Consider the following 16579-nt stretch of genomic DNA (forward strand, 5'->3'; position numbering starts at 1 on the left):
ATAGCAAGAAGCTGTAAATGTGCTAAAAGGGCTTTTCTTTTGGGACAGTAATGGTTTGACTACAAGCCTCAGCATATTAAAAATATAAGGGTTTGTAACCTGCTTAAAGAAGGAGAAAAAATAGTTTCTGAAATGGAATGAGAAAGGGTCAGAAACAAAAACAATCTATTTTTTAAGAGATTGGTTTAGAAGAGGCATGTTATTTAGAAATTATTGTTGCCTGACAAGAAAACACTAGAATAGAAAAACAGCACTTTTTGGCTTATGGGAGGAAAGCTCACAGGGCCATTAAAATTGAAAAGTTAGTACATGCAGATAGAATGGTCAAGATGAGGCCAGACTTGCTGCCACAGAGGTCATAAATTATTCTCAAAAAAAAAAAAAAAAAAAAACCGGGCAAATAAGATGAACAATATCACTGACTTCCAAGCTTGGTGGCCAAGAACAAGATTCTTTGAAAGAATGGGTTATTTTTAATAATGATAACAACAATGGTAGTTTGTAGTAAATGTTTCAAATGCATCAGGCTCCATGCCAGGAGTTTTACATGCGCTGTCTCCTGTAATCACTGCACCAATCTGATGTAGTGGTAGACTCATAAACATTACAATCCACTTTTAAATATGGGAAAACAGGCTTAGTGAGGTTGCATAGCTTGACTTTGGTTACATTCTAAGTTTCAGAGACAGTAGTTAACTCTTCTTTGATTCTACAGCTCTTGGATCTGTTCTAGTTACTGTTCCACATTCTCTGAGCTATCTACTGCCTTTAAATGAAAGTGAAATCCTAAGAAGCACTTGCAAAATGCAGTGCAGGAAGAAGGCACAGGTTGCCTAGTAGTTAGTCTCAAGAGAAATATGATCCCAGTAGAGTTGACGCAGTACAGCAAACTGCAAAACATATCAGATAAAAAGAAGAGCTTTGACTATGAAAGCCTTTGACTCAGCAACATAAGTCAGCACCAGAAAGGGCTCTACGAGACAAGCCAGAGATGAGTGAGAAACAGAAACATGGGCATAGCAGAATGGCAGCCATTCATATAGAAATACATATCTATTTGAATTTCAACTTAAGTAAACACTGGGGTAACCCAAAGAGTGATGGTAGCCTACCTATTCTGAAATTTTACTGCTAGAAAAGACCATTGGTCTGGCAAGGAAAAGTGCGGGATCGAAAAATCAAATGGCATTAGGCAGTTCAAGCACAAAGCCTGAGGTCCGCTCTGGCCATTTGTGGCTTTTGCTCAAATAGAAATTCCTGAACTTGCATAGACTCAAAGTAGTGTGGTTTAGTGACTTGGTGAGGATTACTTTCGTTTGATTCTGCCAGACCTCTAATTCACTAACATCATTGTCCTAAGTTCCATGTGGAAACTCAGGTACAGAGTGGATTTCTTAGGAAGATGTTGGGATCATGGAGGAGAGAAATTGGAAAATGAGTCGTGATCAAAATGCTCTTTTTTGAAAGCTATTTTATGACACCAGACTGCAAGAATTAAAATCACATTAGGATGTCAGTAGCAACATTTACACACTGCCTAAACCAGCAATGGCCACTTTTTTCATAATCATGAATCCCCATTGCTTCTACAGAATATGTTTAGACAATATATGTAGGATATATATGTGTAAGTCAGTAGATTTGAAACATTGTAACAATGATTCCTAAAATTAGAGTATTACAAAATAGCCCTGAGATCTCAAAAGCCTAAACATTTATGTAAAGGCAACTTCTAATCTCATTTTTAAAGTTTGGTACTTTCTATTACTGTGAAAGAAATATGGATTGGCTATCAAGGGACTTCCACCACTAATCAATATTGGACAAAGATCATCTCACTTCTCTGTGTGTCTATGTCTTCACTTTTAAAGTGAGAGAGACAGGCTGAGTGTTTATACTAGAAAAAGCTTTAATTTCAAGGAAATCTGACTAGAATCCCAACATGGAAAAACAGATGAAAACGGGTTCATTCGTTGAAGCAGAGATGGGGGCCGGAAGGAACGTAAGGATGAAATGGAGGGATGGGGGAAATGGAGAGGTCAGTGAAGGTCTGACAAGTAGAAGCAGCAGTGGCAGTGACATAGTTAAACTGGGAAACAAACAGGATGTGGCAACTGGAAGGCAGGCTGTCTGAACTAGGGATTTTGGAAGCAGACCGGTGTTGCATCTTAAGGACAGATGGCAAGGGCCAGAGTGTACTGGCATCTGTGGTGCAGAGAAGACAATTTGTGTGAAGGAAACCACGTGGCTCCGGTGATGAATGGGTTGACATATGGAATTAAGTTGGAAAGAGTGACTGACCTGATGCAGAAGATTCTGGAAAGGCAGTGAGTGACAGCACAAGGAGGGAAAAATGGGGTCAACTTAGCACCAGCCCCCAGCAAGGAGAGGGAAGAAAAATTTGGAAATGACAATGGAGGAAAAAGCAGACTGTGACTCAGTCCCCCAGCCCTGAGATGAGTGGATTTGAAAGAGTCAACAGTAAATCACTGGGAGATCCAGAGGGGAACAGGTGATGTCAGTTAAGTCAATTTCAAATAATTTTCAAATTTCAAATAAGAAAACTCAGAAAGAACTTTCTGAGAAGCCATTGGGTTTACTGAGTTTAAAGAAGAAATTCTTTCTGGAATTACTGAACGGTAGCCGTGTTTCTCCTCCAGGCATTATCCAATATCAACAAGTTTGAGATTTATAGTTGGCTCAGATTCCATTGGTCGGTCAGGGTGGTGATGTGTGTGGTATGTGTGGTGTGTTGCAGGCAGTGTGAAAGGGGTGTGAGAGAGGAGGTCAGATCTGGTCTCCTGAAAAATCGCTTACAGGATTATAAAAACCACTATGCTCAAGCATCACATATAGGTATTCAAAAATGCATATGATAAACATAGATAACTTGATTTTTCTCTTGTGTATTCAGTTGATATGCTAAGGCAATAATTTTGATCAAGAGAAACACACAACAGAGCCCTAAGTGAAAGGTCTGAAATAATGTTATGTCAGTTATTAACTGACAAGAAACCAGCAAATGTTTATAATTGGAAGAAAAAAATCAATAGTTTTTTATGACAAAGTTCAGCATCAAAATGATCTGGAGACTGCCCTACAGAATTAAAGGCTCATAATACCAAGTTGCATTTCTCTGAAATAACCAAATACAAATGCAGTCTCCCTCTGCCACTTCTCTCTGTCTAAGCAAATACACCCACTGCAAAAGGAACCAAAGGAACAAGAAAACTACATCGTAAGTACCAAAAATGATGACTTTATTGAACACCTATTGTACTTACTTTGCTTTATTATCCACAGCTAATGCCATGCTCCCCCCACTCCCACCTCCCATCTTACCCATCGAAAGAGTGAGGCACTGTAGGAAGGGAACATGCTTTGCTACATACTATTAGATAATATCATCAGCTGGACAGTATTGACATCTTTACATACATAAAATAATGATCATAGTTGCATTAGAATAACCACATTAGCAAAAGATTTAAAATGAGATAATTGTACAGGGAACCATTTAAAATGGAATGATTATATTTTAATTTTACATCTGATTGTGCAAAACTGTAAATGCAAACCAGAGGCTGTGTGGAGTAGAGAGGAACATGAATTCACCAACCCGTGGATAATTATCCTTTGTAAACTCCAAATTCAAAGGCTAAACATTTACTACGCTTCATGCTCTTTGATCGTACTCTTTAGGCGAAGAAAGTGTTGACTGAGCATTGTTCCCCAGTAAGGCTTGTGAAAATCAAATACATTTCTGAACTGTAAATACAATTTCATAGGCTAATAGTCACTAATAGCTTGTAATTAATGAACAGCATATTAGGTAAATAAACCACGTTGAAATTTCAGCTGAAGCTTCATACTTGAAGGGTTCTCCTTTCAATTATTCTGAAGGCAGTGAAGTCTGTGTCCCCAGATTTTTTGGGAATTTGCTTGCACATTTTACCATCTACCATCTCAAAACTCTCTTCCAGTTGCTACTTTCTCCCTCCCCATTAAAACCTGCTTTCAGGAAAGGATCTAAAAATATAATACACAATCAGATAGTCCTTGAATTTTAAATGGTGCAACAAGCTTTGTACCAGTGAACAGAGCAATGCAATTTAGTTGAAAGACATAGCAGTGATTTTGGAGAAAGGAAGTGAGAGCCATATTGGCCTAGGTTTGAGTCCTTGATTTGTTATTTGCTGGATACATATTCTTGAGAAATTACTCAATCTTTCTGATCTTTAATTTCCTTATTTACAAAATGGAGATAATCATTCCCAAGACAACTCTAGCTTCTGTGGAACTTTGTGCATATTGGAAAAGCCTTTCCCTCCAGGTAGACTCATCTTCTTGGGTTCATAGATCATCAAGAGGAGTGCAGCCTGGATTTGAGCCCTATCATCCCTCAGGCAAATGCCTTTATTCAGTACACAAACAGTACTAGAATACATGACAGCCCTGATGACAGTTACCTTGCTGGGCTGTTACCATCATGAAAGGAAATGGTATATGTGAACATGCCTTATCACTGGGCTATGGCCCAGTCATTACTAATTTTTTCAAAGCTATTTTCTTACAGTTCTTTCATCTTGTATTTCATAATCATACACACCTGCATACATATACATCACTTAATAAGTTGGATAATACGTAAATAATAATAAATTTATGTTAATAAGTAATTCATAAATAATAATAAATGTACTTGAAACAGAGCATGGAGCAGGGTGACTACCTTTCTCAGGGTAGGTGCCCACAGAGGCAAGTTGCTTATCACTTACAGAAAGGCCAAGTGTGATTATCTGGTAGAGTCAGTTTATAGTCAAGGTTAGGTAGGAGCTTCTGCTCAGAGTAGATGGTCCTGGGCTCGAAATCTATGTGTGTGACTTATTCTAGAAACTATTCCATAACTCGAAAGCAGGCTGCTACAGAGTTGTATTATTAATATAATTTGGTAGTGCCCAAAAAACTGGAGCCTGACCGTCTGGGTCATTTCCTACCTCCATCACTTTGTGTTGTATGACTCAGGCCAGGTTGCTTATCTCTGTTTCAGATACCTCATCTATAAAATATGCTAAAATAAAATAAATAGGAGGGAGGAAGAATAACATCTATTGAGGCTGTTGTGAAGACTTCATGCATTAATTTAGACAAAGGTTTAGAACAGTGCCTTACACATAATCAGTGGGAGGTATGTGTTCATCATTGTCATCATCATCACCATCACCATCTTCACCATCAGTATCATTATTACAAAAGCATCAGCATCATTACAATACTTAGCACAGTACTTTATTATTTATGTAACCATGTTTTAAATGATGGCCCTGTTTTCTGATATTATTATTTTCCTAACTTATCTGTATCTCTAATTTTTCTTCAACAAATATGTATTTCTTTGGAGTAAAAACAATAGAATTTACAATAATAAAATAGTGGTTAAAATTATCTTGGTGCTAAGAAATAAATACAAAGAGATATCAAAAATAATCTCTTCTACCAAGAATGTAAATATGTCGATGGGGAGTCAGAGTATATTATAAACAAATAAATAGGCAGAGTGTAAACAGGGATTGGATTGAAGGCTGAGCTCAGCTTCTTACCTTGCCCTGCAGCCATTTTGAGGCTATACTCACTACTTTTTCTGTCTTACCACTTCCAAGATGTATCTATCTATCTATCTATCTATCTATCTATCTATCTATCATCTATCTACCTATCTATCTATCTACCTATCTATCTATGTATCTGTCTATCTATCATCTGTCTAATAGATATCTAGAGATAGAGCAAAAGGAGATAGAGATAGAGGGAGAAAGAACAGGAGAGCATGAGAGAGAGAAAGAGAAATGTTTTGCTAAGTGTTTTGTGTCGATATGGGGAAGAGAAGTCACATCCACACTGGATAGCTCCATAATAAAATTCTCATCATACATCCTGGTTTTTCTTTACTTCTTTGCACCCTCAGAGGCTCTTTGGCTCTTTCCTCTATCTTCCCCCTACATTCTGTCTCAGAGGTTCATCTATCATAACGTCGAGGCATCTTGGAAAATATTCACACTTTTGCTTCTCCATGTTACACTTCACTTCCCCCTCACCTTTCCCCAACTTCAAAACCTTTATCGTTTACAGTTCTCCATCTCTCATTCAAGGCTTCCTTCACCCAGGCTCATTCTAACCCCACTTCCCTAAATTACACACTTATTATGTAAATGTGTAAACTGTCTATTCAGTCAGTCCTGGTTTTTCATTTATTCAACACATATTTATTGAGCAACTACTATGTACCAGGCACCAAGCCAGGAACTATCTGTCTAATTCTACCCCCTGTCCAGTGTCTAGCCAGGTCTAACTCTCTGCCTCCTCTGGAACTACTATGTAGCACTTAGTGTCCACAGAAGCTATCTTAGCCTTTAACTGTTTTAGGTGTTGACATTTTCCTAACTGGACTCTCCTTGCAAGAAAGAGCTTGTCATATATGTCTAGGTGTTCAGTCTGTCATCTAGAATATATGCTCCACTAGGGCAGGAATGTGCATTGTCTGTTTTGTTCCTTTGTGAAGCCAAGTGCTGGGAAAGTGTTTATTATATGACTGATGCCCAGAAACATTTTCTAAAATGATGAATGAATCTCCCTCAGCAACTAGCAGGATGTTAAGCACGTATTATTTGCTTTCAATCAACACCAAGACAACTGAGTGTTTAACATAAATTATGAGATTTTTCCCTAAATGTCTACAAAACTACATAATTTTTGAGCAGTTCCAAAAAATACTGTTTTTGTGCCCAAGGACATACTAACAGATTCGAGAGTTTCCATGCAGTTGTGGCAAGAATAACTAGGACACCATTGCTCCTTAAAGATGAAAGTTCACCAATATTTTGAAAAGTACAAATAATTACCAAATGAACTCATTCTTCTATACATTATCCACAGCTTATCAGTTGTATGCATGGCTCACTGATAGGTTCTACTTTCAAGGATTTCATTAATTGTATTACTTGGTGTTACTAACAACACTGCTCAGTAATGATGACAATTTGTTGACCATTAAAGATAGTTGTTTATAATTTACACACTTTAGTTAGAATGCTAGAATAATGCTATCATTTCATAATCAAGCATTGTTTGACACTTAAAAAAACTAGGATTTTATAAATAACTCAGTGTATAAAGACAAAAAAGTGGAGTTGTTCTGATGATACTGGAAGAAGGAGAGTAAAAAGAGTGCAGAGCCCCACCTGCTTACTACACCTCCTTCATCTTCACCCAAGGCATCCCCACCTCCACGTGGCACTAAGCAGAACCCTACAGTCATGCAGAACACAGTTCAAATTACACTGAACCAGCACCAGCTTCTTACCTAACAAAGAAGAAAGGAATGTCAAAGAGGTTAAGAGACCTGCCAAATTTCTTTCATATCCCCATAAGGGATGCCGGATCTCCAGTCCAGGGGTGTTTCCACCATGCTATAACTGCCCCTAAACCAAGGTCATCACTGACAGTTGGCATTCTTGCCTAAATTATTCCAGGCATTTTCACACCTCCAAGGAGGGAGGCCTACTTCCATCCTACTAGGCTAGTTTTGATTCCTCTCTCTACTTTCCCTTCGGTTTTGAATCTAGTTTTTAGGAAATGTCAGATTACCAACTCGTTTAACACTTTTTTTCCATGACCCTTAAATTGTTCTCCTGAAACTTCCGTCATGAAGGTAGTTAGATTAGCACTTAGAGGTGTTCTAGCATAATATTTAGTGCCTATAGAATGCTTTTCACCTCAAAGGCAACTGTCTACAGGGCAATTTTCATGGATGAAAGACGTAGGCAAACAGTCACATATGTTGGTGCATTTATAAAGCAGTTTCATTTAAAGCCCCAAGGCCTTAAATGGTACCTTGACAAACAGATGTCTATTCTTTTTATTATTATTATACATTTACACAGACACACATCATTAGTTCTTTATTGACATCCTGTTTTATTTTTATCTGGTTTTAATGCTAGCTGTGAATGTCATCATAAAACTGTCTTCTAGAATACCTGCTGATAGGGAAGAGGAAAAGGATGAATCAAAACTTGGTACCATATTGGGGAGGAGAGCCCTCAGGATCCCTGCTGCCTGCATGACTGAACAGCAGATGAAACACACTGAACGTTCCACTGAACGTTGAGTCAGTGGAAGATGGAGCTTGCAAGGCTGTCTTGGAGAGTATCAGTGCTCCCAGCTTAGCATTAAAATGCAGCCTGGTGGTCACTGGAGTTCTCAGCTCTGATGTCTGAATGCCACAGGCCTGGGGAAAACCCCAGGCCTGTGGCTGCTGGAGGGAATGCAATTAGGGCCTCTGAGAGAGAGAAGACCAATATTTAATTGGCTCATCCCAAGTTATCTACCAACAGTTGGGCTTCTCTCCTTCAACTCCTGCCTGGTTGATATTACTCAGTTTTTGGGGTTTTTTGTTTGTTTGTTTTTTGTTTTTTGTTTTTCAGGTTTTTTGCTGTCATTTTTGTTGTACTTCATTTTTTTCCTTACCATTCAATTTTGCTTTTGGAGGAAAGCTCTCAAGAAAGACACTTTCAGGACCATCCAGATTATCTAATTTCAATGACTGACTGAACTTCAAATATGTAATTTAGGCTTTCCCAAGCTGCTCGATGATATGATGCAGTGTTGCTTTAGACTGTACATTATTTTTCATATGGTGGAAGTGTAATGTGAATCATTCTAATAGCTCCTGGCATCACATCCACCTACTCTCTCTCTTTGTGCAAGTAATATTCATGCATGTGAGCAGTGTGCATCAAAGAGCATATAGGAAATCACAGTGGAACTGTGGGGATAGCATGGCTTCCACAAAAGTCATATAACTGTAGCTTGCATCCATAGAAATACAGTGCCCACTACAAGGAGAGGTTATAAACTGGACTGCTCCAGTCAGGCTATATGTGTAGCTAAGTGTTAAGTTTTGTCCAGACACATTTTAAGATGGGTATTGAAATACTGTCATTTAGAATACAATCTGAGTTCTTGTCCTGTCCTACATGAGCTTGTGGTGGGGGGCTCCCCATGTGCATTATCAGGCCATCTTCCAACACTTTCCCCCTCTGAGCATCTTTTTTTTCCTGGCTCAGGTCTAGCTCATTCTACCCAGGGCCTTTCACTTACAAAGTCCTCCTGCTTCAAAACCTCTTCCTCTTCCATGCTAGTTAATTATCCCCATTCAGGTCTTAGAGAAACCTCCCTGATCATCTGAAGGCTTGTCTTCTAGTTTCACACGTGCACTGCCACACACACACACACACACACACACACACACATCCCTTGTCACTCTCCTATCTCCCTTTGTCATTTTCATCTTGGCACGAATCACTCTCTGAAATGATCCTCTGTGTGTGTGTGTGTGTGTAACGCTTATCTTATCATCTGATTCCTTTGCTCCTCTGTAAGCCTCATGAGAGGAGGGGCCTTCCCTTCCTTGTTTCTCACCATATCACCAGCTCCTAGAGCAGTGCTGACACATGGCAGGAACTCAGTGATTATCTGTTCAATGAATCATAAGTAAATGAAGAGAGTATGTCTGGTGTTGGCTGACCAGGGTTGTGAAGGGACAGAAGGGGCTTATCTGAAAAACTACTGAAGCATAGGGAATTTGAGCCTGGAAAAAGGGAGATTTAGAGAAGTCATGATAATTGTCCTAAACAATTTGAGAGACCGCCACACAGAAGAGGGTGTGGTGAGGTCAGAGGCAGGGAATCTGGGCACGTACTGTTCAGCCCTTGTTAGGGAGAACATTATGGCAAATAGAGTTCTTGAAAAGGAAGGGCTTCTTTGTAATATAGTGCTTTCTGGAAATGTGAAATATTCAGGGGAAAAGCTTGAAGTAACTGTCTGGTGTAGAAGGTAATTCCATTTTGGAAATAAGAATATATGGGAGTTATAGATGAGAGAAAATTGATTCTTGAAGAAAGATTACTTATTCTAATTCTTCACTCAATGAAAGAATCAAAGAGTAAGAGAGGTAAAATGTTTTGTCCCAAGGTGTAGCAAACACTGTTGGCTGACTAATCCCACACCTATTCCCCAAATTATTGTCTCTTACTCATTTTCAACATAGAGTGTGGGAATGCTAAAAACTAATTTCCCTAGTTTCTCTTGCACTTGGGGTGGCCACTGAGATAATTCTAGCCCATGAGAAGTAAATGAAGGACAGTGGGGACTTCTAAGATATCTTTGCTTTCTTGATGAAGAAACAGGGTGGCTATTGCTGTCTCTCATTCTGCTTCTTGAACTGGAAGTGGATGTGAGGGAAGGAGTTACTGTAGTCATTTTGTGACCATTAGAGAAGCACTGAGATGCTGCCTCTAACATTGTATTGAACCAAGGCCAGCATCTGACTCCTTTTAGACTTCCTTATTTGTTTTAAAAGACTGTCAGTGGGGTTTTCTTGCAGCCAAAAGCATTCCTGACTGACACACAGATATTACAGAAAGTGGCAAAGTTTAGATTAATTTTATATTTCCTAATGCTCAGGCAGGTAGATTTTTCATTACATATACTAACTCATTTGTCAACTATTATTAAATGCCTACTGTGTTCCAGTCACAGGGCTAGGACCTGGGGAATTTGTTGGGGTCACTGGCAATACAAAAATCTATCATGCTAGAAAGGAAACACTAGTGAAGACATGATTACAATTCAATGAGATGAGGGCTATGACAGAGGAATACACGGGACACCAGGACAACAGAGAAGCCCAAGTTCCAAAGTGGGAACAGAGAGAGCATCCTCAAAAATGACATCTACTTAGAGTTAAGACTTAAATAAACAGTAGAAGTTAACCAGATTGGGGGAGGTAAAGGACTCTCTAGGCAGAAAGAGATTGTAGTGCAGAGAGCAAGGTCCACTCAAGAAGCTGCGAAGAGTTTGGCAAGACTGAAACTCCGTGTGTGTGCAGGAAGGGGGCTGCAGAGAGATGAAGTGGGAGGTGTCAAAAGGTGAATCTGGAGGGATAAGTAGGAGCCAGGTAAGAAAAGGGTTTCCTTTGCCTAGGTGATATGTTGGAATGGTTTCTAGGAATAGGTGCTAGGAAGTTATTGAAGGTTCAAAAGTAGGGAAATGACTGATCAGATTGGCATTTCAGAGTGATCACCCTGGTTTCCAGGTGGAACATGCACAGGAGGGGAGGGGTTGTTAAGGTGCTTCAAGACTGAAAGTCAGGGAGGTGAGTTCGGAGGCAGAGATGGTGGGACTTGAAATTTTAGAGGACATCTTCAAAATGTTAAGAAGGCAGAAGTGAAATGACTTGGGGATCATTAGGTAGAGAGTCTAATGCAGAGTCAAGAGTGACTGAAAGGATGATACCACCTATCCAAACTTAGGGAAATATCACACCTCCTCAAGACTTTAGTGTATTCCATGTGTAGAGTCTGTTTTCTATTCCTAAATCTACTGCCCTAGAAAAAGTACCAATGAAATAAAACGTGAAGTGATTTGAGCACCAAGTGGGAAACTGGGGATTCCTTAACTGGGATGCTGATTTTCATATGTTAATATTTTTTCCAAATGTACTTCCTCATATTTTAAGTGGAATATGAATTTCCTAGAAATTTTACAATAATTTTGTATTATGTAAAGATAGTTGAATAAAATAGTCCCTGTTGCTAGTAATCATAAAGATAAATTTAATTTCCACTGGCCACATAATAATTTGTCTCATTATCTTATAGTCACAGCTTGTACACATATAATAATGTCACCAAATGTCACTTAAAATAATATTTTTCTTTTTAAATGTTAAAATGATTCTTTTCAGTTAGTCTAACAAAAGCTTTTTTAAACTCACATTCACATTTTCAAATATAAAGTGAGTTTCAGTAGTACCTGTGTTTCATTGCTAAACTTTTGAATTCTGCTTTTTTCCTTAATGATAAAACTAGCATCACAATGATTACTTCTCATCTATATTCATAAATGTACCTAATGGCTACACTGGCCAAATAGCTAACATAATTTCAATTTCTAGAAAACAACATTTCTAGACCACATCCTCCCCAAAATATTTTTTAAATGATTTCTTATATTTTTTGCTCACATTTCACTAATTGTATAAAAAATATAAAATTTATTTATTTATTTTTTTACCTCAGGAAACATATGGTGTAAATGCTTAAGGAAATGTGAGTCATGTCTTTGATGAGGCAACTACTAAAAAATCAGTTCCTTCTGCTACAATATAAATAGCATGATAAGCCCTATCAAAGGTCAAAATCTAATTTTAAAATACGTATTTCAAGAATTTTTATTTTAGCCATCTTGCCATGAATTAGAAATATGGTCTGTTCAGTGGCCAACTCTGACATTTTCTAGTGCACTTGCTTTTCAGTTTTTGGAGCAAGAGAGAGGAAATACATTTTGTTATATTTCAACTCAAAGATCTCTGAGATATTGCAGAGCCAAAAAAAAATCATCTCTATCCATTCCCTACCCTACTCCCCCCCAGAAAAATCCTTTCACCTCCCAAACAATTTCTAAAAATACATTTTTCTTTTTTGTTAACTGCTCTCTTGAAACTTGAAGATGTGTCTGAAGGATTTGGTTGTCAATGTTACTTATTTCTAAGTTCCCATCTGGTTCTCAAAAAACTCTTTCCTCCTCTTCCTAAGTGAACACCTCTGAAAGTTGTAATGGATTTGGCAGTAGGCAAGCTGCCTATGTTTATAACTCTGAGCACACAGGTGATGTCACCTATGATAAACAGCACTTGGCACCTCTAGCCATCTCTGTCTAACTGTGAGCTTCAAGTCCACTGGGTGCTTGGGAAGGAGAGCTGATTAAATACCCCATCCAGGAAGGAGCTAGATTGACAGACAAGAGTTCAGCCTACTTGCTTGCATGCTACTTGCAATTGAGACCTGTGACAAGAATGGAATTTTGCTCCCCTCAATTTTTAGATATAAGAAAATTGAGGTAGAGGGAGGTTAATTGCTTTAATGCCTCCATAATTTAAACACTAGATTTCTTGCTCAATGTTTAGTGATGAAACATATCAGAGTAGGTCTGTTATACTCACCACCCTTGGCTGAAGCTGGACTTCATTTCCACTGACTGATCCCCTTGTTTGTACAGATCATGCGCAGCTAATTCCTGAGCTTGTTTTTCAACCTCTCAAACACCTGGAGTACAAAATTTGATTCCTTCAAAGAGACTGCTCAAATTCATTTGTTTTTGCAAGTACCATGAATAGTTTTTTAATTAATTATTATTATAAGAGAATACATATTTATTGTGGCAAATTTTAGAACTAAGAAAAGGGACAAAGAATCTCTAACTCATCCATACTTTCTCACCCAGAGATATCCATGGCTAACAGATGGATGTATTTACTTCTAGTCTTTTAAGATATGCATATATATTTCCAAAACTGATACTATGTTATATAAACACATATCCTGATTTTCCCATTTAATATTTTACGGTATGCAGTTTTCCATTTTTTAATATTTCAAATATTCTTTGTAAACAGGTATTTTAATAATTGCATAATAGAGTATGCATAGGCCATTAAACCTAGCAGTGCATGATCTGGCCAGGTCAGCATTCCAGCCTTAGCCTCAGACACTGGAAATTGCTATCCTGTCATTTAGGCCTCCTTCATATATCTGGTTCTTCCTGCCTGGAAAATCCTTCCTTGTGGTAGGCACAATTTTAAGATGGCCCCCAAGATTCTATCCTCTACATGCATGTCCTATATGATCTCCTTCTCTTATATGTGAGCCTAATCACGAACAGGATGAACAGTCACTCCCATGATTAGGTTATTATGTATGGAGAAGGTGGAGGGATTTTGCTGATGTAATTAAGGATCTCAAATCAGTTGATTTTTGAGTTAACCAAAAATGGCAATTATTTTGGGTGGGCCTGACTGAATCAGAAGAACATCCATAAGGAGGAGTTGGGCCCTTCCTGAAGAGGAACATTCTCTTGCTGGTCTTGAAGTAAGTGGCCACGTTGTGAGAGGATCTGCCAAAGGATGAGGAACTGCAGGTGGCCTCAAGGGGCTGAGAGCTGCCCCAGGCTGGTGATCAGCAAGAAAGTGGGAACTTCGGTCCTAAAACCACAGCAACTAAATTCTGCCAACAACTTGAAGGAGCTTGAAAGAGGACCCTGAGCCCCAGACATGAATGCCATCTGCAAACACCTGATGTCAGCCTCTTGAGACTCTGATACGCACCTGACTCCTGACCCAGGGAAAACATGAGATAATGAATGGTGCTTTAAGCCACTGAGTTAGTGGTAGTTTCTGACCCAGCAATAGAAAACCAATGCATTCCCTTTCTCTTTTCCTCTGGTAACTTCCACTCAGCTTTCAGGTCTGAGCTGTGAGATCACTTCCTTCAAGGAGCCATCCCTGGCGCCACCTATATATTGTCCCAGCTCATTTTTACTTCTTCCATGAACAGCAATCACAGATAGAATGGCAGTTGCCTATTTTCTCACCTGCATGTCTCTTGCATGATAAACAAGTGTGGATACTGAGCCTCAGAGAGGTGAAGTTCTATTTGTTTGATGGCTAAAATATATTGGGACATCTCAGGAAATAGCAACACATGTGAATACAATGCAAACTTAAATTTAGCAGATTTGCCAACACAAGACGTGGCTGGAACAAAAATACAGTAAATTTACCATAATGTGTAACATTTAATGTATTGTCTGAAACCAATTTCAGATAATACTACTGAAGCAAATTTCATCGAATAATTCATGTGTGCATTAGCTGTGTGGATATGGAACCTGATTCTATATACAATTTACGGCCTTGTCAGTTTTTATGTAAAAATCACTTAGAGTGAATAAAACTGCCTATTTATGGTAATTTCTCATTTATGGATTACTTCTGAAGAAAACACACAGTTCTTTTCCCTGGGTTTCAAAGCCTGGTTAGCCAACAGGATCCCAGAAGCAGTTATGTGCTGGAGCTGAGTGACTCATCTGGGAGATTACAGTAGGTGAGCATGCTCTACATGCTAATTGCGTCAAGCTGAAACCATTCAGATATTAGGAATAAAAGCAAATAGAAGGGTGATATTTTAATTCTGCACTAAAGATAGGGGTTAAAATAATAACTCAGCTAAAATAGATACAAAAGCCCAATGACTCCCTGCTTTTTTTAGGATGAGTAAGGGAAAAAACTAAATTAAAAATCACTAGATTATATGCAAAACTGCCTGTTTATTTACCTTACCGATGGTGGTACTGGACACACACTGAAAAGGTTAGCATTAATTGGCTTTTGATAAGGACAAAATTCTGCATTTTCAGCACTGCTGGACTGATGAGTTAGAATTACAGTATTTCCTAAAACTCATCAGTTCCCTCTAATTGGGTCTGCCCAGGAGAAGAGCTGTCAGATCGGAGAAGAATTCAATAATTCTCAAGCTTTGTTTCATAAAAACCACCCGGGATGCTTGTGTTAATGTTCCTATTCCCAAGCCTTTCCGTAGAAATTCTGACTCCTTAGGTTTGAGGTGGGGCCTTATCATATATGTTTTAAATAAGCCCCCAAGATGATTTTGATACAGGTAGTTTAGCTCTTACATTTTCAGAACCATCGAGTAGACCATTTAAGATATTTGTCATCATTGATTCTCAGAAGACTTGCTCCTAAGACCAGAAGATATTTGCCTGGTGTCTGCTCTGCCTGAGAAAACATCTTCAATGTGCATGGGGTCCTGTAATGCATATGAGGAGTAGAGAGCTCCTGGGCCTGCAGCGGACAAGTAGGGTGCAAAGGCTGAAACGTCACATGGAGACCCCAGTGAATTAGAGTCACCTAAAGAAAAGCCACCATTTAATGTGCAGCATTCTTGGTAGGTGGGAATGTGAGCAGGGTGTTGCCAGATTTGCTGTTTTCTAGAGAAACAGAAAACATGAATTTTTGTGTAAACTCCCTCGATTTTTTAAAAAACACTGGGTTTTAAAAATAAAATCTGTAATTGGAGCAAGGGCTGCGAGTTTTCAACCTCTGCCTTAACTCATCAGGATAATTCTCCATAAAATTTGAGAAATGGCAGAGCCTATTTCGTTGACAGAGGTGGTGACATGAGAACAGGAATATGAACTCCATGGGTGAGAGATGGAAGGGAATACCCAGGCACACAAGGCTGCTCAAGGAAAGACAATTGAGCTGCCTTTTCATACAACTCGGCGCTGTGAGGAGGAAGTGTTTTCTAGTGTCCAGAATATGAAACCTGTAAAAATTGGATTTATTCTTCCTCCTCCTCCTTCTCTTCTGCAAAGGGTTTTCAGATATTCATTCCCATTGTATCTCACACCTAATCACCCATGAACCTGCGGAGTAGGTCAACTCAAGGTTGGATCTACAATATTTTAAAATGCTATAAAGTAGATTTCAGTCCCTGAGTTGAATTCAACCTCATTCTTCAGGCTGGCCAATAACTGACAGGGTCTTTGGCTGTGCAGAATGCTAAGTGTGAGGTGTACGGGGAGGGTACCAGTTCAGGTAAGGCTACATGCCAGACTGTTAGCTGTGTTCCAGGGATAACAGGAACCTTTCTTTTTTACC

The 16579-nt window shown here is 38.8% G+C and overlaps 1 protein-coding gene and 1 long non-coding RNA gene across 18 annotated transcripts in view; both read right to left on the minus strand.

Annotated features, from left to right (window-relative positions):
• The window catches only part of PDE4D (phosphodiesterase 4D), a 1553091-nt gene that overhangs the window by 861918 nt on the left and 674594 nt on the right, over positions 1–16579 (minus strand). The gene's annotated exons all lie outside the window — the stretch shown is intronic.
• The window catches only part of LOC107986350 (uncharacterized), a 42415-nt gene continuing 27692 nt past the window's right edge, over positions 1857–16579 (minus strand). Inside the window, exon 2 of the long non-coding RNA XR_001742414.2 lies at positions 1857–16244. This is a non-coding gene — a long non-coding RNA (uncharacterized LOC107986350). The remainder of the gene's footprint in view (positions 16245–16579) is intronic.

Source organism: Homo sapiens, chromosome 5, assembly GCF_000001405.40.
Source record: "Homo sapiens chromosome 5, GRCh38.p14 Primary Assembly".
NCBI classification, from domain to species: domain Eukaryota; kingdom Metazoa; phylum Chordata; class Mammalia; order Primates; family Hominidae; genus Homo; species Homo sapiens.